The 26,574-nt window shown below is 40.1% G+C and overlaps 1 protein-coding gene across 2 annotated transcripts in view; it reads left to right on the top strand.

The window, feature by feature from the left end:
• The window catches only part of ATP13A5 (ATPase 13A5), a 103,965-nt gene continuing 87,892 nt past the window's right edge, over positions 10,502-26,574 (top strand). For both annotated transcript variants that reach the window (NM_198505.4, XM_011512770.3), the window contains exons 1-3: positions 10,502-10,592; positions 24,975-25,148; positions 25,873-26,019. In NM_198505.4, the coding sequence (NP_940907.2) occupies positions 10,530-10,592; positions 24,975-25,148; positions 25,873-26,019 (384 nt within the window). In that variant the 5' untranslated portion in view covers positions 10,502-10,529. The remainder of the gene's footprint in view (positions 10,593-24,974; positions 25,149-25,872; positions 26,020-26,574) is intronic.

The raw sequence follows: 26,574 nt of genomic DNA, 5'->3' as shown, positions 1-26,574 counted from the left end.
TGCAGCCTCCCAAGTAGCTAGGATCACAGGCCCCTGTCACCATGCCCAGCTAATTATTGTATTTTTAATAGAGATGGGGTTTCACCATCGTGGCCAGGCTGGTCTTGGACTCCTGACCTCGTGATACACCTGCTTCAGCCTCCCAAAGTGCTAGAATTACAGGCTTGAGCCACTGCGCCCAGCCAAAAACTCCAGTTTCTGAGATACACAAACTAATCCACCCTCCAGATAAGGGAGAAAAAGAATAACTGATCCTGGACCATTCTCTGGTTTGAATATTTTAAGGAAATCCTCATCTCGCCAACTAGGTTAGATCATCTGCAATTGAGTAGTAACAAATCAATTTGCCTTGCAACATCAGTTTAGAGATTATTCTCCTTAAGATAGATCTTGTGATCTGACTCATTCTGGAAGGCCTCTGTCCATTCTCCATCTTTGTAACCACCGCACCTCATCACAGCTGTTTTCTTCCTTCTTTTGAATCCACAAATACAGTTGAACTCCTGTTCTTTCAGTAGCCACAATAGTTTCGGAAATGCTATTGTCCTCTGCCCAGCACCATTTACTGGTCTCAATGGTTGTGAGCGTTTTTAGCAGCAGTGAGGGGAGAAGAGGTGGGAGTTTAGTCTTCACCAAGGCATTGACCCGACTATACTGGGGCACGTGTTTGGCCACTGGTCTGACGCAGGTTGGTGACTTAACTGACAAACACAGTTAACACTGGACAGTCATTATCACTGGCACTTACTGTTGTCATCAGACAAGTCATACAACTGGGAGTTTGTGTGGATTTGTTCTTGTGGCCAGTCATGTGGAAGGCCTTCCAGAATATTAAATTAAGCAGACATTCTGTTCCCCTGCAGCTAATACACAGAGCACGGGGGCAACATGGCATATGCTTTGACAAGCTTAAAATCCTTGACAATAGTGAACAGATTTCCAGGAACAGAAGGTGACCTGTTGAATTATCCTGGAACAATTCTAACACCTTAAGGAGAAAGAATGGTCAGACCAAACTCAGCATGGTTACATGGACAATTTTAAATTAAGGAGAAAAGACACTGTAGATTTTGAAGTGAGAGAATTGAGTAAGAGGTGAGAGAATGGGACGAGGCAGGTGGTTTTCCTCCCCAGAGAAAGAACGGGTTGTCGGTACCTACAGATGTAGTGAGTACAAACATTAGACACGCTTAGTTCTTTTCTTAAGTTGAGTTCCCCAGAAGCAGACAGCAAGACCTGGATTTATATATAAATATTTTATGAAGGAAGTGTTTCCAGGAGAAGCTGGTAAGAGAGTGAAAGACAATAAAAGTAAGAATGTGATTTTGGGCAGAGTCTTTATTTCAATCTGATGCTGCCAGGGAGCTTTGGAATGAAAACCTTTCTTCACTCTGTCCCAACTATTGGCAAGGAAACAGCTTCAGACTTCTGCCTTGTCAGTCACTGGCTCAGGGCTGCCTGGGCAGGGTGGGGGTGGGGAGCAAACTTCGGGTCTTTGGTAGAACAGTCAAAGGGGCTCAAGGGCAACCCTCTGAAAAGAGTCAGAAGAATAGGTCATTAGAAGAAAAGCACACAAATGCCTGTGAAGGCATCAAAGACATCCAAGAAGATCTGAGCAGACTGCAGACGGTATCTGTCTCTGAGTAACACAGGAAAAGCATATTCCCTAGGTAGGAAAAGAGTCATTTATTCATCACACAATATTTTTTGAGCACCTAATTATATATGCCTCTCCCTATGCTAAGTGCTTGGATTTGAAGATGAATGGCTCTTTTCCTTGAATGTATTAAGAACTATTCTTTACTTACTTATCAAATGTTATGGGAATAGTCCCCAAAGCAAAGTTGTTGGACTCAAGGACAGTGAAGGTCACCCAACCTGGGACATATGAAGCATTTGGAAAATAGAATTGACTCCATGAGAAAGTAAATCAATTAATATTTATTCGATGACTGAAAAGGCAGTTTTCTAAAAAATCCAAAACACAAGGAATTAAATTTTAAAAATTGCTTCAATAATCCACAACATATTAACAGTATTTGCAACACATCAAGCCTCATTTTACAATAAAAACTAAGCAGAGCACAGAATTTAGTTCAAGTTCTGGTTCTTGACTCCCATGAGGGGCATGGAAGAGCTAGCTCAGCTACCTAAGCTTGTGTCTCTGCCCCTGTGGAGGGTAGCTACAGCCATTCCTAGAATAAGAGTAGAAATGAGGTTGGGTGTGGTGGCTCATGCCTGTAATCCCGGCACTCTGGGAGGCCGAGATGGGTGGATCCCCTGAAGTCAGGAATTTGAGACCAGCCTGGCCAACATGGTGAAACTCATTTTAGTCTCTACTAAAACTACACAAATTAGCCAGGTGTGGTGGCAGGCGCCTGTAATCCCAGCTACTCAGGAGGCTGAAGTCGGAGAATCTCTGGAACCCAGGAGGCAGAGGTTGTAGTGAGCCGACATTGCCCCACTGCACTCCAGCCTGGATGACAGAACAAGACTCCATCTCAAAAAAAAAAAAAAAAAAAAAAAAAAAAGAGTAGTGATGAGAGATCCAGAGAAAACTTACTAGCAGAGGTGGAGGAGTTGTTTCTTCATTGATGAGGAGTCAGCTATGAGTGGGTAAAAGGGAATATTTTTTTCTTTAGCTTCACCTGCTGTAATCAGAAGTCCATGGGCTGCCTTGCTTTCTAACAGAAGCTGCATATATTCCAAGAATCAATCTCTTTCAAACTTCCTAACTTCTGGCAACAGATTCTGAATCATCCAGTTTCTATCAGAGGAATTCACCTCAAAGGATCCTGCTAAACAATGAATGGTCATACCTATATGGGTGGTACCTATGTATATCAGTAACAAGCCACGCCTGAACCTGGCAAGGAGAGATGAGCTTGCCAAAGATTCTTTTGTAAAATAGGACACAAGAGCAGCTGGAGGAAAAGTAGAGAATACGTAAGACTTGGACTTGAGAGCATGGCTCCTGTAGACTGAGCTCAAGGGCAAGGTTTGTACCTTATTCGTCTATGGATCCTCATTTTAGGACCTAGAATAGTGTTTTGCATATGGCAGTTTTCCACAGTTATGGGCAGAATTTAACTGAGGAGAGCCGAATAAGTTGAAGAACTACTATTGAACCTCCAGTGGTTGCTTTTTGGCGATAATATAAAATCTAATTCCCTCTCCATACTGTTCAGACTTCCATTCCCTGGCTCCAATTTAGTCTAGTTGTCTTAGAGGTTTTTCTTCCGGGGATCTTCTTCACAAATAGAAGAAGACAGAGTGCACATTCTAAGTTGTCATTTTTTTATGGTAAGTGCACATTTTAGTTCATACTTGAAATATATTTCTGAATTTGAATAATATCTGGGTGGATCACCTGAGGTCGGGAGTTCAAGACCAGCCTGATCAACATGGAGAAACCCCGTCTCTACTAAAAATACAAAATTAGCCGGGCTTGGTGGTGCATGCCTCTAATCCCAGCTACTCGGGAGGCTGAGACAGGAGAATCGCTTGAACCCGGGAGGCGGAGGTTGCGGTGAGCTGAGATCGCGCCATTGCACTCCAGCCTGAGCAACAAGAGCGAGACTCCGTCTCAAAAATAATATCTTTAAAACTGAGATTTATTTTGCTTTTCAAATTTTTGTTCGCTTTTTGAAAAAAGTATGGGTCAAGAAAATAAAATGTTCCATGAGTGAAATGATTTAATAATTGCCCAAATTTTACCTTTTGCCTCTGTTTTCATTACATTAAAATTCATTTATTAGTTGCTATAATGTTATTATTAATTAAAATGTATACATTTTTCTCCTTTAGTAAAAAATATCTTAGTATAGTTGAAAAGTATTGATTACTTCTTTATGTACAGTAATCTTTATTTTTTATTTTTAAAAATCATTTTTACTGGCATGATTACGTATACAAAATTCAATAAAAGACCATTTTACTCTCTATGTTTATTTTCTGGCCATTGCTATTAATTCTATCTCACACTTAAAAAATTTATCACCTAGACAAGGGGGACATAAAGAACGATCTTCTCTGCGTGCCAAATATGTCCACAACTTCGCTTTGCTTCCTGGGATCCTGTGACTCTGTTGGCTGTGCACACTGCCCTGGGCACTCTGGCTTCCTTCCTGGCCACCAGCTTCGGGGTTTTGACACCTGATATTCCTTTTACTCAGAACCCTCTTTGCCCAGGTAGCCATGTGCCCCTAGCTCCTCCGGTCTTTGTAGTGTCTTCCCTGACCACCTTGTTATTATTAATATTTTTACAAAGTATTTGTATCTTTATTCAATTCAATTAAAACACACCTGCCAGGTATATTATATAACATTCACTATATACATATGACTTAGGCAATGCAAGATAATTCTAGATGTGTTGATTACTCAAATATGAGTAAAACATGAATGGTGTCAGGGATGCCCAGCAAATGCTCCTTTTCACATTGGGTGCCTGCGTTTCCATGGTATGGTTAGAGGGATAGCTATGAGCCACGACATGGATTCCCAGTAAACTTTTGTGGGAGAAGGAGGGAAAATGACAATCTAGCATAGATGAACAGTCTCCTAAATGCAAATAGAATACTTGACAGTTACGTTTTTAAAAAAGTTCTTCCATCATGTTAATGACACAAAAATTCTCTTTTTTGAAGACAACACCACCACATTTTGTTTGGGTCTGTGGGGACAGGTGGGGGGAATGCTTTTAAAATTGGTATAATTATTCCTAAAACAGCAACGGGCTGGGTGTGGTGGCTCACGCCTGTAATCTCAGCACTTTGCGAGGCTGAGGTGGGCAGATCATTTGAGGTCAGGAGTTCGAAACCAGCCTGGCCAAGATGGTGAAAGCCCATCTCTACTAAAAGTACAAAAATTAGCTGGGCGTGCTGGTGGGTGCCTGTAATCTCAGCTACTTGGGAGGCTAAAGCAGGAGAATCGCTTGAGCCCGGGAAGTGGAGGTTGCAGTGAGCAGAGATTATGCCATTGCACTCCAGCCTGGGGGACAGGGCAAGACTCTGTCTCAAACAAACAAACAAAAACCAAAAAAGTATGTCTTTGGTGAAGCCTCAGTACCCATTCAGTTCACTGTAATAATCTGTAATAAAACAGGACTGTAGTACAGTGCTGGGCCTTGATTTCAACAAGCGGACCACCTTACTTAACATGCAACTCCACATGCCCTTCCACTCCCCACTCCCCTCACTTCTGACCCCCACCAGCATTGCCTCTTCACTTTCTTAACCTGATTTCTCTCCGTGGCAATATCACTATCTGTCAAACTGTGGGTTTTACTTATTTACTTGCTTTGTCAGTCAGTTCCTGCTCCCTGAGAAGTCAACATTATCTGCTTTGATTACTGCTGTCCTCTCAACACCTTGAACAACGTCTAATAGGAAGTAAGTCCTCAATACATATTTGTTCAGGAAATTAATGAAGAAGCATAAAATGAAGAGACCTTTGAACCATCTAAAGCGTAAGGCAAATTTGACCTAAGTAAAATGTTCTGCACATGTGCATATGTGCATTATTCTTGGGGAGGGGGGAACCTGCACATTTCCTCAGATTCTCAAAGTTCTCTGTGACCCCAAGCAGGTAAATAAGCTGCTAGGCTAGACACACTTGTTAGTCCTTTGAGCAGCTAGACTCCATGCCTCTCTCTCTCTTCTAGCCTTTTCTCTGGCCACCCTCTCTGGCCCATTCCATTATTCCTCCTATAGTGGAGTCGTGTTCTTTTATTCTTTGTTTACCAGCCTATCAACTCATTAACGGCAGGATTGTCATCTGATTCATTTCTGCCCACCCCCGCTTCAGTCTTAACACTAGTCTGATAAGCTTAGAAGCTGTTTGTTAAATGAATTAACAGGACAAGTAGAGGTTAAGGAATAATACAGGAAGCCTCCATTTACAGTTTGGGGTTTTTGTATGTGTGTACCCAGACAAGATATAATTTTTTTTCTACTCATCTAAGGCTTGCTACATATCACCAAATTCTCAATTTGCTGATCTCCAAAATAGAAATTTGAGGTAGGGATTGGGAAAGGTTACAATCATACTTTCACCTTGAACAGCCCATATTTGTGTTTCTAAAGGGAGCTCCTTCTATTTTGTTCAAATCTGTAGAGAATGTGTGAGTTATTTTGATTCAGTGGTGGTTAGGGGTGAAAGAAGCAAGGGTTGGTTGGCTCTGCTTATGAATAGACTGAGTGCAATTCAAGAGAGGGCATGTGATTCCATATTTCAGATAGAGGACAAGTCGTGTATCAAAATTCAAGTATTTTCTTAACCTTTGTGGTTCTTGCAAAGAGCTTCTGGCATTGTCACTCAGTCAGGTATCACAGGCCACTCCATACCCTGTTACCAGATGTAGAACCTCTCAGATTTCCACAGATGCTCTTTATTTCTGCAGTCATGCAGGCCTTCATCACTTCTGCCATGTGTGGCAGTCACCTCTGCTTGATTTTGTTCTCTCACCAGACTCACCAGGGTCCCTTGAGATCTAGGCTGATCTATCTTCACCCGTCTCTCAGATGATCATTGGGGCTGTGTGGCTAGGTAACCCCAAACCCACTTTCTATTCTTCCTGCCACACTGGTGGACCACACTCCTAGTCAACTTTGCAAGTAGATGTGGTCACCTAACTGAGTTCTAATCAATCTTCTAGCGTAAGTTCAGAGTAACTCTTCCAGGATGAGTCCATGGAAACTTTTATTTACTATCCTCCATGAAGTCCCCCTTTTATATAATCAAGGCAGCCTTGGAAGCCACGTGTTGAAAATCGTGGAGCCACAGATGGAAGGAGCCTGGATCTCCAAGATAGAATGTTCCAGTAGGACTCCATTTAATGGGTGGAGAAAAATATCAAGAGAGCTTGAAAATCTAGAGAAGACATCCAACTCTGGATAAGTTTCCCCCTTACTTCATGGGAAAATAGGGGATGAGAATCTTGTCTCTGCCAAATAGGAGGGTGAGGTATGGTTCTAACCAACCTCACCACGTCCATTGTGTCTTCGTCGAATAAGCCTCGTGGACTAGAGGTGGTGACACGCCCTCTCTCCCTAATCCATGTCATCCCCATGTCCCTCACCTCTCTAGCATTCAGAGCAGAGTTCTAGAGAAAATACAGCAGCAGAGCAGGTAGCCTTTCTTGGTGGAAATACGCTGGACTGTGAGGCAGGGAACCGGGCTTGAGCCCTGGATCTGCTGTTATCTCACTGTGCCTCTTTAAGCAAAATTTGCCCATCTTTTTGTTTTCTGGAAATTGTGTTCCAGGTCAGGGATTGTGGAAGAAGATGAAACACTCTCTCAGTCATTTACTTCCTCTGGCTTCACTCTGATAGGAAAGCTGTTCAGCAGTCTATGACTTTGCTTCTTGAGGGATGATCAGTTCTTCAGGCCCCTGTGTGAAGTGGACATTTTACTCTTTGTTCCTTTCTGAGTCTTTCATTGGTCTCTTCCCTCCCTTCTTGTCTCTGAAGGCCCCTGCTCTTATGCTGTATGGTGCTGACAGCTTCCTTCTTATTAGGACAGAGTTTGCCTTTGTGGTTCATCAGGATGCAGTTTTGCTTCTAGTCATAGGCAACAGGGAATCTGACCTCTTCAGATGGAAAAGATCTAAAGAATTCCAGCTTAAGTTATGACCTCCTGAACTCTATGGCTAGAAATACTAGTGTGATCCGGAAGAGGCCACTGCCACCATTCCTGAGGCTGCTTCTCCCAGAAGAGATGCCCTCAACCCTCCAGCACGTGTATAAACATAAAAGGTGACTCTTCCACCCATGTGCCTACAAGGGACTGGCTAAGCCATTGAGGCATGACTGGATCTTCACGTTGCTTATGGGGGTCTGGCATTAGGTCCTATAAGCTATAATGTCTGTTGCAGACCTTCCAGGAGGCAGGGTTTAATGCCATGTGATTACTTTCTTCACAGAGCTTGTCCTCTGGTGGCTAAAGCAATGCTCAGTACTTAAAGACCCTCGAGATTATCTAATACAAACTTTGCCCTGATGAATCCATCATATGGTAAATGGGCCCAATGTCAGCATTCACATCTCTGGGACCTGGAAGCTCAGTGCCTCCAAGACATTTATGAGCATTGGGATTATTCAAAGACTTTAATTTGAAGTGGGTATTTTGTACTTGTACAGGGCAAAGAGTGTTGGTTCCTCAGTGGGAAGGAGCTGAGGCCTTGGGTCTTGGCCGGTGGACAGACAAGAGTCCAGCTCGCCATGGTTGACAAGCTCTTCTTGAGCACACCTTTGTTTGCATCTCCATCATAATTATTACTCATCACTTCCCATCTTTCTAGTCTCAAGTCTTACTTTTATTCCCCTTAATGCCCCGAATAGGTGCTCCTTTCCCACCTCGCTTGACCCTTTCCACACCTTCTGCTCCCAGCCTAGACTGTGCTCACCAGATGCCACTATCCCCCATTCTTTCTATCTGTTAACTTCTGCTTATCTTTGAGATGTCAGAATAAATGTCACTTCCTTTGGGAACCTGTTTGTATTCCATTAAATCTGAGTTTAGTATATTTCCCAATTAAGAGGCTGCTTAGTTATCTGTCATTCCCAAGTAACTATAAACTCTCTCAGGATAGGGGCTCTTTCCTTTACACCATTGTATTCGAGGGCCTAGCACAATGTCTGGAACATCTGTTTTCCAGTACATAATTGTTGAGTAAAAGTGGAATGGAGTCAAGACCAGTGCTATGTATATCTTTGGACTATATGTAACAGAAAACCCAAGCAAGAGTGGCTTTATGAGAATGTTTAATTGTGTATTTAATGTGGTGTTTAGGGGTAGGTAGGTCCATGAATCAGTGGTGTTATAGGCATATAACTTCTTTTGTCCTTTTCTCACCGTAATTTTCATGGTGATTTGCATCCTCCTCACCACCTAAAGATGGCTACCATGCTCCAAGCATTGCATTTTCATGGATCACTTTCAAAGAAAGGCAGAAAGGGGAAGACAGAAAAAAATGTTCTTCTCTCTGTTTCATCAACAAGATAACCTTTCCCACAAGACCATGTCTTTCTCTTCTATTTCATTGTTTAGAACTGGGCCACACGCCGACCCATAGACAAATCATTGACTCATCTTGGTGCTTTTAGCTGAAGTCATGCTGCACAAAGTTGGGGTTCTTTCAGCAAGAAATACAAGTAAATAGCGGATGGGTAAGAAGTGAATGATAGCCACCACTCGTGTCTTTAATGAAGTTTTACTAAAATCCAGAACTCCTTTCTTCAAATATGCATTTTACCTTAGATTGGTACTACTTACAAGGCAACATTCACACCGGCACATTATACTTCAGTATGGGTACCTCGGGAGCCTCTGGCATGAAGAGCTCTAGTTGTCTTCCTGTTTATTCTCATCAGCCACTTTCTCCTGGCCAGAGAGCACGTTGATCTCTCCTGAACACCAAGTTGGACACTTATGCCTGCTCAAGGCAATCAGTGTCTATTTCAGTCAGCAGAAACAGCCAAGTATCATCCCTAATAGTTTTCATTCCCAGCAAATTTTCTTCCATAGTCAAAGTGCAAGGATACAATAAGAGCCAATAAAATGACAAAAGTTTTCATCACAAACAAATTAACTGACTCTGGAATGGATCACAGTATACCTATTTTCTAATCAAAATATCAAATTCAGTGGTGTTGAAATTTGGGCTATATCCTTAATCCTCGGACTTTCTAGCATCTCTTCCCTCCACATACTTTGCTCATTTGAAAACTTTTGTAAACTCTAAAGAGAAAATGAAAAGAATCAAGTTATTAATATAGTTTACTTTTTAAAGCCTCTTTCTTCTTGGTTAGTGTAATGATTATGATGATGATTATTTCTCTCTTAGTGACTGTGGTGGGTGCTATCGTTGGCTTTTTATGACTATCATCTTAAATCTTTATATTACTGTATAGTTATTATTGACATTTTATGTACTAGAAACTGAAATTCCAGATTTTAAGTGATTTGTCCAGGGTCTTCAGTGAAGCACGGATTAGAACTCAGATTTTTCTAATTCCAAAATGATTCCTACATTCTCTATCATGAGCCTACCTCCCTTCCTTCAATTCTCATTGTCACCCCCAATATGTTCATTACTTTTTCAAAGTCTGCAGGGTTTTTATACATCTCTCACTGGCTAATCCTTTTATCTTAGGTTTTTAGCAAAGTGACTATTCTCATTCCTTGGCTGAGACATTTATGGATCGCATACAAAATGATTTCTCCTTCTAGTTTGCCAACTTCTTCCCCCGTCATTCCTCAGGTCTTGAGGCACTCATATCTAGCTCAATAAACAAACACTAGGAAAAAAACCCACAATAACCAGATTAACAGACCAATCCTGTTCCTGAGAAGATTTTCTCTCTTTCCTTTGTTAGTCTAATAGGCAAGGTGTGTACTAAGAGATTTTAAAAGCGCCTGGGAAGAGCAATCACAAGTTGTGACGATTCCAAGTTCACAGAAGCCCAAGGGATTTTGACATTTCTCCAAGGAGTTAGCCAGAAGAGATCCTCGCCGGTTGAGTTCAGATGGAAGAGAACAGTAAGAAGGACCATCGGGCTTTGCTCAACCAGGGAGAGGAGGATGAACTGGTGAGTCTTCCCTTTATTTTATTAGTCTTCTCAAAGAGCCCAAGGCGGTGAGTATGGGCTACAGCTGAATTAGAAAATAGAGTGTAGCATTTATGCTTCAGGCTTTAGGACCTTGAAAGGTTTCAGTCTGGTAAGGTTCCTTAAGGGCTGCAAAGCACCATTTTATTGTGGGGAAACCTGCAGGGGCTGAGAAACTTGTGACCTCTGGATGATAGAATTCTTGCCATCTTCATATGAACCTGTGATGTTTCCTCGCACATTTACAGTATTTGCAGAGCCCCGCATGGTGCTCAGTGGGGTGTCTCCCCCTTATTATCTGGATTGCTATGTGATGGAACAAACTCTATTGAAAACAAGAACTCTTTTTTATTCTCGTGCTTTGGGTATGTATGCATAACCTAGGCTTAGGGGGCTCTGGGCTGAAGTCATGCTTTTTATAAGCGCAGAGAGAAGTTTTAAGCATCAATTACTAAAGAAGGAGTAGAATGTGGCCTGGGATTTTTAACACATATTTTAAACATTTCTCATGTCTCCAATTTTTTCCCCACTCTTGTTTTCATCAAACACACACACACACACACACACACATTTAAAAATAATAATTAAAAAGTTGAAAACTATAGTGTTTATTTGGTGCTGAGGTGTTTATATTTATGATTTTATATAATCCTCAGACCTCAGTGATGAAAGAACTAATCCTATTTAATTGAAAAGAAATCTGAGACCAGGGAGGTTAAATAACTTGCCCAAGGTCATTAGCCTGCAAGGGACAGGCTGGGAATCCAGCCGACTCCTTCTCCACATCCTGTGCTGTTCACCATACAACAGTGGCTCCAGCTAGACAATGAAGAAAGGAGACAGAGACAGACAGGGGAAGGGTCAGAGTGAGGGCACATTTGGGGGCCCCAAAGAACTTGGAGAACATGGTTTGTAGATTAGAATGATGTCAGTTTCCTGGCTGGCATCCTGGTTCCCTGTGAGATCTGGGGCAAATCCATACCGGCTCTCCCTCCACCTATCCCTGTTTGCTACTCTAAGGAAAACATATGATTTCATCTACATCTATGTTGTTCAATAAGGCAGCCATGGGCCACGTGTAGTTTCTGAGCACTAGAAAAGTAGCTAGTCCACACAAAATATGCTTTATGTGTAAAATACGCACCAGATTTTGAAGAATTTAGTAAAAAAAAGTAAAACATCTTATTAATAATTTTTATATTGTTTACACATTGAAATGACAATATTTTAGATAGCTTAGGTAAAAATTTCACCTGCTTCTCTTTACATCTTTAATGTGGCTGCTAGGAACGTTAATATTAAGAAGGCAGCTCATATTTGTGGCTTGCATTATTGTAGCACGCTAAGCTTGACAATAGCACAGCACTTTAAAATCTTCAGAATTAAAGCTTTTAAAGAATGAAAATCTATTCACCTGTGTTCACTGCTGAACAATTCTGTTAGCTCTGATGTTTTCAACATGTAGATAAGAGTGCATGAAAAATTACATTGCTCTTTATTCTTCTCTAACTAGTTGCTTTATTTGTAAAGTTTATAGCCTGATACTTTAATTCTCTCACTCACAAACAGGACATTGGTATCATAGGATTAAATAATGAGCCAGGTGCCCCAGTTTTCTTCATTTTTGCAGGTGATCAAACCCTTTTACAGACACTCACCAGAAATGTCTATTAGGAATCCAAGTAAGCTTAACTCATTGTGGGGAAGGGGAGATGGCTCTAGATTTCTTTTTCAGAATTCTGGGGCGTAGAGCACAGATGCAAATCCTATTCTGGTTGATCAGGTAATCCACAGACTCCGCTAGGCCTGAGGGAGCTGGGGTGACCGAACTGTGGAAGCTGTGACTTAGCTCCAGGCAATTGCTGAACTGATCTTGCAATTGCTAGCCTTTTAGAAGGAAGCCGGATGGGGAACAACACATACTGGGGCCTATCAGAAGGTGGGAGATGGGAGAAGGGAGAGCATCAGGAAGAATAGCTAATGGATGCTGGGCTTAACACCTAGGTGATGGGTCAATCTGTGTGGCAAACCACTATGGCACACTTTTACCTAAGTATCAAACCTGCACATCCTGCGCATGTACCCCTGAACTTAAAATAAAAGTTGGAAATTAAAAAAAGAAAAGAGACCCCTGGCCAGGCATGGTGGCTCATGCCTGTAATCCCAGCACTTTGGGAGGCTAAGGTGGGAAGATCTCTTGAGGCCAGAAGTTCAAGACCAGTCTGGTTAACATAGCAAAAGCCTGTTTTTCTTATAAATAAAAGAAAAGAGAACCTAGAGATCTCCCTTGTCCCTTCTACCATGTGAGGGCACAGAGAAAAGATGGCAGTCTATGCACCAGAAGGAGGGTCCTCATCAGACACTGGATCTGCCAGCACCTTGATCTTGGACTTCCCAGACTCTAGAAATAGATGTTTTTAAATCTAAAAGGTAAAAAATAAATAAATCGAGGGAAGCCAGAAATCTGACTTTTTATGTGATGTAGCCTGATGATAAATTTTGAAAACAAATTCATCTTTTGAAAACAATCAGTAGGTCAAAGTAAACCTGGGCATGGTTTAGTCCCAGCCTTGGGGGCTGTCGCTCTCTGATGTTGACAGCCTCGCCCCACTTGCTCTTCCTTCCCCGAAGATTCCCTGTGGCCCGGTCTAACTTCTACTCGCATTCATTATTTCAAGTGAACAATCCGTTGTGATCGTGAGAGTCACTGTGGTAAAAATTAGAGACAGTCGAGGCAAATAATGAACTCCTTCAATCAAACACCCATGAAGAGCCTAAGTGGATGGAGGGGCGATGCTGTGAGATTATGCAAGCTCAGTCTTGCGTGATTCTGCTGAGCTCAGCATGGAGATAAAGCCTTGCACTGGCCTCTAGAGCTGAACCCTGTTATCATTCCCATCTCCTGTTCTCATCCTGGTAGTGCTTACTGTCCTGGGCATGGTGCGGTACTAGGTGCTTGACACACAGGTTTTCATTTTACCCAAAACTTTACAACAGCCCTGCAATCAATATTCTCACTGTACAGGTCTTTATTGTTTTTTCCAACCTACTCCCATCCACTTCCCACCCTCCTCACTACTATCTAGCTCTAATAGGTTCCTTTTCTTCACCTGCCTTTTTCCTAAAAATCTGCCCTGCCCAGGTGTTTCCCTCAGCCTCTCCCTTTGCAGTCAGTTTTTCTTGTCTTCTCCAGAGGTCTCAGGACCCATAGCTTCACTAAGAGCCCACAGGAGCCTTCAAAACATAAGACCCGAAATAAATCTGAAGCCTCCAGGTTATATAGCTCCATACTTAATGGAATGGGATTTGGCTTCAGGCTGACCTGGGTTGAATTCTAGTTCTGTTAGGCAAGTTATTTGACCTCTCTAATACCTACCATTTGGGATTGTGGTGAGGATTAAATGAGGTAATACAGCTTTTCTAAACATATCTTCTGCAGTAGGTATTATATAAGAAGTTTCCCTGTTCTCCTTCCCTATCAGGTTTGAGAAATACTGGGTGAAACGGGTACACAGGTAACAGCAGGGCTTCTCAAATCTTGAGTATATTTGTCTTGGTCTGCTTTGTGCTGCTGTAACAGAAGACCACAGACTGGGTGATTCATAAAGAAAATAAATTTATTTATTATTGTTCTGGAGGCTGGGAAGTTCAAGGTCAAGGGACCACACCTGGTGAGGGCCTTCTTGCTGTGTCATTCCATGGTGGAAGGTAAAAGGGCAAGAGAGCACGAGAGAGCAGGAGAGTAAGAGGGGTCCCAACTTGCTTTTATAATGAGCCCACTTTGCAATAACTAACCCACTAGGGTGAAAACAACATTCACAAGGGCAGAGACTTGTAATCTAATTACCTCTTATTCGCCCCACCTCCCAGCGCAAGAACCTTGGAGAACACATTCAAACCATATCTATATTATGTTTTTTTGTGATCTCTTAAGGGGGCATTACAGTGCACTATATAGCACTATGTATGCGTGTGTGTGTGTGTGTGTGTGTGTGTGTGTGTGTCATGGTCTTACTCTGCCACACAGGCTGGAGTGCAGTGGTGTGATCATAGCTCACTGCAGCCTCAATCTCCCAGGCACAAGCAATCCTCCTGCCTCAGCCTCCCATATAGCTGGGACCAAAGGCATGCGCTACAACAGCTGGTTAATTTTTTAAAAATTTCAGTAGAGACGAGGTCTCCCTACGTTTTCCAGGCTGGTCTCAAACTCCTGGGCTCAAGTGATGTTCCTGCCTCGAACTCCTAAAATGCTGGGATTATAGGCATGAGCCACCTCACCCAGCCACAATGCACCTTATTTCCCACACTTATGCACCCATGGAATCTTTCCTCTCTCTCTCTCTGTGTGTGTGTGTGTGTGTGTGTGTGCAAATACATGCACAGATTATCTCCTGACCACTGGAACCTCCATAGGAAGGCTGGAACGTTCTCAATGACCGATAGGTATTATTTTATCATTTTACCCTGCTGGGAGGAAAAATAATCATGACGGCTCTTCTCAGCCTGGTTTGTCTGGAGGCACACTGTGTGCATATCAGCCTCTGTTTCAGCAGCTCCCGTGACCACAGGCTGCATTTGCTTTCTGAAGATGACTTTGATTCTGACCCCACTGGAGCCACAAGTGCTGCTTCATTCATATCAGTTGCAAAGCCCAGCAATTCCATCTGTGTTCCCCTTCTGCACAGACACCCACCAACAAAATGTCAAAATTACACATCACAGCAGCCCCAGAAGGCAAAATGGCTGCTTGGTGTGGACAAAACAGAACTGACAAAGGTGCATTTTGCTTCGAAGTAATTTTCTTCTGCTGAACAGTGGCAGAGCCCTGGACTCTGAGAGAGCAAACCTGGGCTTTAGTCTAGGCTCAGCTGCTAATCATGTGGTTGTGGACACCTCTTTGGCCTTGACTCTTTACCTAAGAACAATACCACTAGCTCTCCTGACTCACAAGTTTTGTGAGGGCCACATGCGAGATATGGAAAGGGCTATGAAAAATAAGTGGTTCATTTATGTACAAGGGATCAAGAGTTACAAAGTGCAAAAATAATTAGAAAATGCAGGAATACATATGTTAAGTGAGATTGGTGTTGAGGATATGTTCTCTTTTTTCTGGTTAAGATGTAAAGAATGATCATTGTTTGAGGCTATCATTGAGAAAACAAGTAATATGTGATGAGTTGTTAAAAAAAAAATCAAGAATTGCCTGGGCGCGGTGGCTCACGCCTGTAATCCCAGCACTTTGAGAGGCCGAGGCAGGTGGATCACCTGAGGTCAGGAGTTTGAGACCAGGCTGGCCAACATGACAAAATCCCATCTCTACTAAAAATAAAAGAAAAAAAATTAGCTGGGCATGGTGGCAGCTGCCTGTAATCCCAGCTACTTGGGAGGCTAAGGCAGGAGATCGCTTGAACCTGGGAGGCAGAGGTTGCAGTGAGCCGAGATCACGCCATTGCAGTCCAGCCTGGGCAATGGAGTGAGACTCTATCTCAAAAAAATAAGAAAAAGAAAAATCAGGAATTTTAAACATGTAGATTATTTTACATATACAATGTAATGTATCTTACATACACAAGGTTGTCCTCCAATAAAGAACTTCCCCTCAAAAAAACCACTCAAAGGATTAAAACTGAAAAGTAAAAATTGAAACTGAAAGTCAGCCCTGTTGGCTCTCTCCTGTTTTCAGTCAACATGTATATTATCAGGTTGAATGAGGTAAAGGTAAGCTTATCAATCTTCAACTGACACCTAGCTATAAGGGAAGAACAACAATATAGGTGACAGAATCAAGATTCAAAAATTTGTCTAGGCTGGATTGTAGGTGAGAAATTGGCAAGATGCAATGTAACAGACCTCATTATTGAGTTTTTGTTTTAAGTTATTTTCAAAAAACAAGGTGAGGGTATCAGTGACTTGGGTTTGGTAGTTGTACATGAAAAAGTAATTGAAGTGCTTTATTTGATGTGCTGAATTTTATTTGCCAATGTGATGTAGCTATAAAAAATTAGCCCTGGAATGCCTTAGTAAAAGCCTGTTCTTCAGAATAGAAGAAATAAATAAAAGTTCTGCCATAATCTGTATTTTTTTAGGAAAAATCTAGGAAGTTACATTTAATTCTAAAACTCATACTTAGAGAGAAATTTCAAGAAGTATAGTGTATTTGGAGGAATATCTGCATATCGTAAGTAAGAACTGTTTAAAAGAAATTAGAAACAGTTTCCCAAAGAACAGTCATAATGTTTGTCTTCCAAGAGTTGAGAGGCTGCTGTGGAGAACAAAAGTAGGGGTTGGTAGATTCCAGCCATATTTATTTTCCTTATGGCAGAACTTCCCCCTTTTTTTTTTTTTTTTTTTTTTTTGAGGTGGAGTCTTGCCCAGGCTGGAGTGAAATGGCACGATCTCGGCTCACTGCAACGTCTGCCTCCCAGGTTCAAGCGATTTTCCTGCCTCAGTCTACTGAGTAGTTGGGACTACAGGAGCACACCACCACACCCAGCTAATTTTTGTATTTCTAGTAGAGACAGGGTTTCACCATGTTGTCCAGGCTGGTCTGAATCCCCTGACCTCGTGATCTGCCTGCCTCAGCCTCCCAAAGTGCTGATTACAGGTGTGAGCCACCGCACCTGCCAGAACTTCCTAATCATCTGTGGTGGCAGAAACTTAACATGACACCCCTGTGATCACCGTTCCTGTTGTATAATCCCCTCTAGCTGAGTGTGGGCAGAACCTGTAAATATGAGAAGCTAGGACTCCTATTATTATATTATGTTCTATGGAAAAAGGGACTTTACAGGTATAATCCACATGAACTCAATGGAGTTAATAAAAATGGAGATTGGGTACACCTGACCTAATCAGGTGACTCATTAAAAGAGACTGGGCCTTTCCTGAAGTCAGAGATAGTTAAAGCACGAGAGAGGTCTGATGCAAGGGAGGTTCTACGTTGCATTTTTGAAGATGGAAGATGCCCTGTGGTAAGGAGTGGTTGCTAAGACTGAGAGTCGCTTCCAGCTGACTACCAGCAAGAGAATGGGGGCCCCCCATCTTAAGGCCGCAAGGAACCGAATTCTGCCAACAACCATATGAGTGTGAAGAGGTCTCTTAGCTCCAGAAGGAGCACAGCTCAGGTGACGCCTTGAGTTTAGTCTTGTAAGACGCTCAGCATAGGACCCAGCTAACTGAATACCCAACCCATAAAAACTGAGACAGTAAATCTGTGTTGTATTAAGACACTGAGTTTGCTATGCAGCAACAGAAAACTAATACACCATCACAGCTGTCCAACAAGAGAGTATGCAGCCCTGTAAGGCAACGAAAAGCCCCTCTTAAGCAGACGATAGATGCTCATCTGCAAAGAACACTGTATAGCTGTTTTTTCCTAGAGAGAAATTTGAACCAAATAATCTCTGAGACTCCCTCCCTGGTTAACAATGCTCTTATTTTACAAATGACTTTTAACCGAACTTGCCATGTTGTTCCATGCCCTTGATCTAGGGCAAATTCTGTTTTCAGAAATTGTTCTTGCTACTTGGGCCAGGCATCTCATCATCTTTTGACCCACACTTACAGCTCTCTGCTGTTAGCCTCACCAAACAAAGGTCCTTAGTTGCACTTTCACTTGCAGGAGGACTATATGTTAGCACTCTTGTTATGGTAGTGCCAGCTGAAATTATGGGAATACCTGTAGCCAAGAGTGGGATATGTTCATCTCTTTTGTATTGGGTTTCGAATCACACTGCTAGATAGTGAAAAGTTTTTCTTACTCCAGACTGAATGATTTAGTATTTATTTTGAACATACATTTCCAAGACTGTTTTTGTTCTACAAATAATTTATAAATGTTAATACTTATTTTAGTAAATAATAATGCCTATTTCATAGGGTTGTGGTGAGAATTAAATAACACCTAATAAGTACTCAGAAGGATTTTATCATCAAATACACTCAATTAGTTCTTATTGTCAAATATAGATAAAAGTAAAAGGGATTCAAGATATCATATCTTATTAGTTTCTAACAATAACCCTAGACAATAGTGACTGTTATTATTCTCATCTGTGGAGGAGGAAATTAAGGCATCAGAAGTAAAGTGGGTTGCCAAAGTCTTATATATGGTTACGTGGTAGAGGTATGATTTGAACTTGGTTTTCCCATGCCATATCCTCAGCTTTTAACTGCTGCACCAAACTACTTCTGATGCATTTTACAAGCAGTCACATTTTTCACACGAAAAATCTGAAGTTCAGCAAGTTTAAATCACAGCTGGTAAATAGTGGAGCAAAGGGCAGAAGTGAGAGCTTCTAGAAGGCAACAGGGTGGGGTATAAAGAAAAGAGGTTCTGGTGTCAGACCTGGAAGGGAAGCCTGGCTCTAAGTTGCGATTTATGGCAATAACCTCTGTGAAAAAGCGCATGCATATTTCACTGCTATTCCTAATCCAGACTGCTTCCTTTGTATTCTGGGCCTAGAAAAAGACTGTTAGGGCTGTGGTACCTCTTTCAGAATTCTATAGGAAACAAAAATGTAAAGGAACACCACTGCTTAGACAGAATACAAATCAAGCCTGTGTGAAGATGGACACAATTTCTGTGCTATTCAACTCAACTAACAGGTGGCAGATCTGGGTTCCTGGCCTCATGGAACACAGGCTGTTTCTATTACCGGTCTTGATCCAGTATATTGCAACTAAAAGCTGAAATAGTCACCTCTTTCCTCCTGTGACTGAACCTACTATAAAATCACCTGTTATCATTGACTGAGCTGCTTTTTCTCTCAACACCTTACACCTCTCTTTAAGCCGCATTGTTTTTCCAGGTGTATGCTATTAATATTCCCCTAAGTACAGAGATGGAAACTGAGATTAGAGAAGTTAAATCCTCAGCTCACAGGTAATAGGTGGCAAAACTCACTTTACTACAAGGAACCATGTATAACGGGTTTGAGATTCAGACACTTTCATCCCATTTCCAGTATCTTTACATTAACACCACCTCTGGATACTATTAATTTTCCTTTTATGGTACAAACATGTTCCTGGCTCTCTCCTCTACCCTGCATTTCTCAGTGGATTTTACTGGGGGCGTGTAAATATTCAGAAAAAATCTGAGTGACTCTGACTACATCAGAAGAATAATCATTTATACAATCTAATTTTCCTCTCAATTAGTTGGTCAAAATAAATACATATACTGTGTGACATAATTTGGCTGTGTCCCCACCCAAATCTTATCTCAAATTGTCTTGAACTCCTGGGCTCAAACGATCCTCCCATCTTGGCCTCCCAAAGTGCTGGGATTACAGCATGAGCCACCATGCTTGGCCTCTTCAGAGACCTTTTAATCAACTGAAACTTTTAATTTTCTTTACTTTTAAAATTCATTTCTATATATTTTTAAAAAACTTAGAGACAGTAGAGACAGGGTCTCACTGTTGCCTGAGTGGAAGTGGTGCAATTATGGCTCACTAAAGCCCTGAACTCCTGGGCTCAAGCGATCCTCCCACCTCTGCCTCCTGAGGAACTGGGACAACAGGTGTGCACCACCATTGCTGGCTAATTAAAAAAAAAATTGTAGAGACAGCGTATTTCTATGTTGCTCAGGCTGGTCTTGAACTCCTGGCCTCAAGCAATCCTCCAGCCTCAGCTTCCCAAAGCACTGGGATTACAGGTGTGAGACACTGTGCCCAGCCAGAAGCTTTTAATTTTAACAAAGTCAAGTACATTTGTTTTGTCTTTCTTTTTATTTTCTGTTTAAGAAACATTTGCCTACTTGAGGTTCATAGAATAATTCATCCTATGGTTTCTTTCAGATGATTTATTGTTTCAGTTGTCACATTTACATATTTGTGCCATCTCAAATGAATTTTTGTATATGGTACAAACCAGTGGGGTGGGGCGGTGGGGGGATTGTACTCATTTATTTTCCAGTGCTATTCGTTTTGCTCTGGCACTGTTTGTTGAGCAAATCACCCTTTCCCACACAGATTGCAGTGGCTCCTTTCTTGCAAGTGAAGAAATCATATGTTTGAGTCTCTTTTTGGACTTTGTTTTGTTGCTCTGTTTGTTTATACTTGTGTGTATACCTCATTTTCTTAATTACTGTGGCTTTGTGGTAAGCCTTCACTTCTGGTGGCATAATTCTTCCACATTTATTCGTTTCAAAAATTGTCTTGACTATCCTACATCCTTTGCATTTCCATTCCAATTTTAGAACCAAGTTGTCAATTACCACACACACACACACACACACACACACACAAGTCTGAAGAGATTTTAAATTGGATTACTAATGGCTAATCCCCAAACTTAATACAGCTCTTCGTTTATTTAGGTCTTTACTTTCTCTTGGCGATGATATGTACTTTTCAGTTTAGATGTCTTGTACAACTTTGTTAGAATTATTACAAGGTAATCAATTTCTTTCTTTGAAGGTATTATAAATGGTATTTAATTAATTTTCAAATTGTTTGTTACTAATATATACAAACACAATTGGTTTTCCTATATTGACCTGGTATCCAGCAATCTGAATAAATTCACTTATTAACTCTTATACTTTGTATATTCTTTTGGATATTTTTCCACATTATCTACACATAGAGTTTAGTTCTTGTTTTCAATTGTTATTCCCCTCCCTTCCCCTCCCCTCCCCTCCCCTTCCCTTTCCTTCCCTTCCCTCTTTCTTTCTCTATTTCTTGCGTTGCACTGGTTAAGACTTCTAGTACTGTACTGATAAATATTAGTAGTGATTGTTGACAATCTCATTTTGGTTGTAACTTAAGTGGGAAAATATTCACTATTTCATCATTACACATGATGTTGCTTAAAGATGTTCTCATCTATTTTTAACTTGTTGAGAATTTTTTAAATCATGTATTGGTGTAGAATTGTATAAGTCTTTTTCTCTATCTATTGAGATGGCCTTCTGAGTTTCCTTCTGAATATTGAAGTGCATGGAATGGCAAAGTACATTGACTGATTTTTAAATCCTTGCATTTCTAGGACAAACATTATTTGGTAGTGATGTACTAAACTTTTAATATATCATTGATTTAGTTAGATAATCTATTTTAGAATTATTTTATCTATGTTCATGACAGGGCTTAGCCTGCAATTTTCCTTGCTTGCAACATATTTATCAGAGTTTGGTGTCTGAGTATGCTGGCTTCATAAAACAAATTGGGAGAATTTTCATCTCTTCTACTTATAAAGAGGTTTGTAAAAGAATAGTATCATTTCTATCTTAAATATTTCAAAGGAATCACAAGTTCTCTGGGCTTGACGATTTCTTTGCAGGGAGCTTTTAAATTGCATATTAATTTTCTGTAATAAACACAAAATATTCGTATTTATTGATGAGTTTATCAATGTTATTAATCTTTTCAGGGTACCAATTTGACTTTGCTGTTTCTCTCTATTGTGTTGTATTTCTACTTTCTGTCTTATTTCTGCACTCATCTTTATAATCTTTTCCTTACTTTTTTGGGGTTTAATTTGCTTTTGTTTCTATAACTTCTTGAATTGGAAGCTTAGTTTATTGATTTCAAAACTTTTTCTCTTTACTAAGATTTGCAGCTAAAGCTGTAAATGTCTATGTAAGGATTATCTTCATTGCATTCCATGAATGTTTATTTCTCAATTTTCATTTTCATTCAGTTCGAATGATTTCCTAATATTTATTGTAATTTTTTATTTGACTTACCTGTGTTATTTCAAAATATGTTGTTTACTTTCCAAATATTTGGGAATTTTTAAGTTATTCTGTTTTTAATTTCTAGTTTAATTGTAATGTCATCATACTTTATGTCTCAGAATGTGCTCAGTTTAGGTAAGTATTCTATGTGTACTTGAAAACTATTTGAATTCTGCAGTTGTTGGCTGTAATTTTCTGTATTTGTCAATTAGATCAATGTAGCTAGTGGAGGTGTTCAGACTTCCTGCATTCCTACTGAGTGTTTTGTCTGCTTATTCTGCTGGTTATTGAGAGGGGGGATGTGCTAAAATCTCCAATGATGAGAGTAGATTTAAATTCTATCAATTTTTCTTTATAATTTTTAAAACTATGTTTTTTAGATGTGCAAAAATTTGGGATTGTTATGTCCTCCTGTTGAATTGATCTTTTAGCTTATGAAATATCCTTCCTTTGCTCTCATAGTATTTTTTCCTTAACTATCCTTAAAGAAATATAATTTGTGTGATAGTAATACAGCGATATCAGCTTTCTTCCACTGTTTGCCCAGTATACTTTCCCCTTCTTTTCCTTTTTAACCTATCCACTTCTTTATGTTTAAAGTGTGTCTCTTGTAAATAGTATACGATAGGTCTTTTATTATCTAGTCTAATAATCTTTGCTTTTAATCATAGCATTAAGGCCACATGCATTTAATGCAATTACTAATATAGTTGGGTTAAATTTCATAATGTTGCTTCTTGTTTCCCATTTATTCTACTTGTTCTTTGTTCTTTTCTCCATTTAACATTGTATCACAGTATGCTCCAGGTTTCTACATCACAGTATGCTCCATTCACAACTTACTGAACCATTAGCTATCATTTGGTTTTTCCAGTGTTTTTGCTATTACAGATAATGCTGCACTGAACGTTGTATATGCAAAACTTTCTCATTTAGATATTATTTCATTAGGGCATATTTTCAAATGAAGAATTACTGATTCAAAGAGTAGAAATATCTTTACAATTCTTGATACAATTTGCCACCTTACTTTTCCTAAAAAATTATTCCAGTTCACAAGGCTATTAGCACTATATAGCTGTAGTGCTTTCATTGCAGTCTTACTAGCATTGTGAGTTTGTTTTTTAATTTAAAAACATTGTATAGAAGAGAACTGAAGGGGTACCAGAATTATGATTTTCATTGCCATTACTGTATACAAATAAACAGAAAAAGAGAAAGTTATTTATGAATGAGCTCATTTCATGTACAAGCTAGACTAAAATTCCAAATTGTCCTGCTTCTATTTTTGCACACATTTTGACTTTGGCAGTAAGCTTCTGTAAATAACTCGGTAAAAGAATGTATATTTATGACATAATATATAAAGTGGCATATACATTTTACTTGGTCCTAATAAAACTATAATTCACAAATAAAACTAAAGCAGGTTTATAGAATCAGAGGGAACAGAAAGAGAAAGAGGAGAACCAATAGAAAACATGCTTAAAAGCAGGGTGAATGCATATTTCTAACTTAAACCTTATTTGAATAATCTCAAAATAGAGTGGCTGCCTCATTGAACTTAATGAACTTTTTTCTCAGGTGGATGATAGTGTTGAGGGTCAATGGAAAAAATCTTAAGCCAAGAGATGTTTTATAGCATGATCTAAACTGGCATAAAATGCAGGATGTTCCCGCATCAAAAGTGCTCTAGACACTTAGTAAAAACTAAGTTTCTAAACATGATAGTCCTGTGATCTGGACCTGAAAATTCAGAGTTCAGTCATATTTTTAAAAAGCACAAAAACAACAATAGCAGAACCTAAAATAATAGTATAGTAGAGATATTATTCATAATCAGCATCCCTCAGGGGCTTCAAAATGCACTGAAAATTTAGCTTTTCAAATTTAAAAAACAATGCTATGAAACATCACTGTACAAGTTGGGAACTAGGAATTGGCCTTCAATAAGCAAATCTATTGTTTGGCAATTTTTCCTTCTAGAATCAAATCTCAAATCTTTATTCAGTTTATGACAAATATTGACTAACCTACTAGTGAGAGTCCAAATATTTTAGCATATTACTATCAGGGTAAATAAATATAAGCTGCTTTTTGAAAGTCTTTCATATCCACGAGTAATTCCTTAATTTACATCAACATACTGTTTTAGAAAATAGTACATTTATTCATACTTTCCGTCGTCCTCAATCATGTTATTATAAGACAAAGCTGAATGGATAAAGCTAGATGTATGAGTGTAGATCACATCTGTCATGATTTTATCATCTTCCTACAATAAATTCATATTGTAGGAATTTTAAAATATTAGGTATTTTAAACATAACAATGTTTAAAATAACTAATGCCTAAAGAAAATAAATCTGCCTCAAAACATGAAGTATTTTATAAAAATCTGAGGTGACTCTTATGAATATATAGAAGCAAATAAATCTGCCCTTTCCATACTCTTTCTGTTTAATGTTTTAGTTCCATATACCAGGGTAGTAAAATAAGTCCTTCTTTTTTGATTTGATCAGTGGACAGCTGCAAGCAGTCAACTTGATTTAACCACCTATAACCAGATTTGTCTCCCAGCCAACATTCTTTCATCTCAAGTTTGGTTTATTGAAAGAAAATAATATGTTTATGTGAAGAAAAGAAAAATAGAGCGATCTTTTAAATTTATTCTCCAGGAGGTGTTTGGTTACCGGGACCACAATGTACGGAAAGCCTTCTGCCTTGTCGCATCCGTGCTGACCTGTGGGGGCCTTCTGCTGGTGTTCTACTGGAGACCCCAGTGGAGAGTGTGGGCCAACTGCATCCCATGCCCCTTGCAAGAAGCAGACACTGTTTTGCTGAGGACAACAGTGCGTGCCTTTCTGTTTTCTATTTTGAAAGCCATGATCGTGTCTTCTGTATTGCCTCTGTGGCATAACTCTGTGGCTGGTATTATATTTCAGAAGGTAGATTTCCTCTATTTAAAGAGTTTCCATAGATCAAAACAGGAGAAAATACGGCAAAATTACCTCTGCAATCCATTTGCTATCTCTCATTTTGACCCAGGAAGGAAGAGCATTTCTTCTGCTTCAGCTTGGGGAAATTTCGACCCCATCAGGTTAACAGGGAGTGCTCTTAGCCATTACATGAGCAGTGGCTGTCAGTGTTACAGCGTTTAGAGACCATAACATGGGAATGGTCATTCAGTTTTTCAAAAATATGTATTTTGGAGGATATTACACATTTTAAGCACCTAGATGTCACTTTAATATAGCTAGAAACTATTTTCTGGATAGAAAGCTTTCCTGAAAAGTATTATCTTTCTTTTTATTTTCTAGCACAGTGGTTATCAAATTTCAGTGCATATCAGAATCATCTGGAGGGCTCATTGAAACAAGGATGCTGGCCCCACCCAGAGTTTTTAATTCAGTAGGTCTGAAGTGGGGCTGAGAATTTGCATTTCTACTAAGTTCTGAGATAAAGCTGATGCGCTTGTTTGGGTCAAAGTTTTGTACCACTTGGTAGGTATTTGGTTGATTGAGCACCTTACTGAATAACACTTGAGAATTTCATGAACTGGATTGTCTTTTCCAGGACGAATTTCAAAGATATATGAGGAAGAAGGTATTCTGCCTCTACTTATCCACACTGAAGTTTCCTGTAAGCAAGAAGTGGGAAGAATCCCTGGTGGCTGACCGCCACTCTGTCATAAACCAAGCCTTAATAAAGCCAGAATTAAAAGTAAGTTACTTGAAGGGTATGGTGTTATGCATGTTTACAGAGAAAGCATAAAATAACTGTTTATTAAATGAAAGTTCCGAATATCACACTTTTGGAATGGGAATGACAGCTATGTATCAAAGAAAGTGAGACTGGCTGGGCATGGTCGTTCACGTCTGTAATCCCGGCACTTTTGGGAGGCCAATGTGGGCGGATCCCTTGAGCCCAGGAGTTTGAGACCAGCCTGGGAAACATGGCAAAACCTCATCTCTATTAAAAAAATAAAAACAAAAAATGAGCTGAGTGTGGTGGTGCTTGCCTGTAGTCCCAGCTACTCAGGAGGTTGAGGCAGGAGGATCGATTGAACCTGGGAGGTCAAGGCTACAGTGAGTGGTCATCACGCCACTGCACTCCAGCCTGGGTGACAGAGTGAGACCCTGTCTGAAAGAAAGAAAGAAAGAAAGAAAGAAAGAAAGAAAGAAAGAAAGAAAGAAAGAAAGAAAGAAGGAAAGCAAGTGAGACCCACAAGGGGATCTGCATCCTGCATTGGACACCACTCCCTCTCCCAGTGAGCTT

The sequence above is a fragment of the Homo sapiens genome, chromosome 3 (assembly GCF_000001405.40).
Source record: "Homo sapiens chromosome 3, GRCh38.p14 Primary Assembly".
NCBI classification, from domain to species: Eukaryota; Metazoa; Chordata; class Mammalia; order Primates; family Hominidae; genus Homo; species Homo sapiens.
Note: the sequence above shows the minus strand (reverse complement) of the source record. Positions and strands in the feature narration are given on the sequence as shown.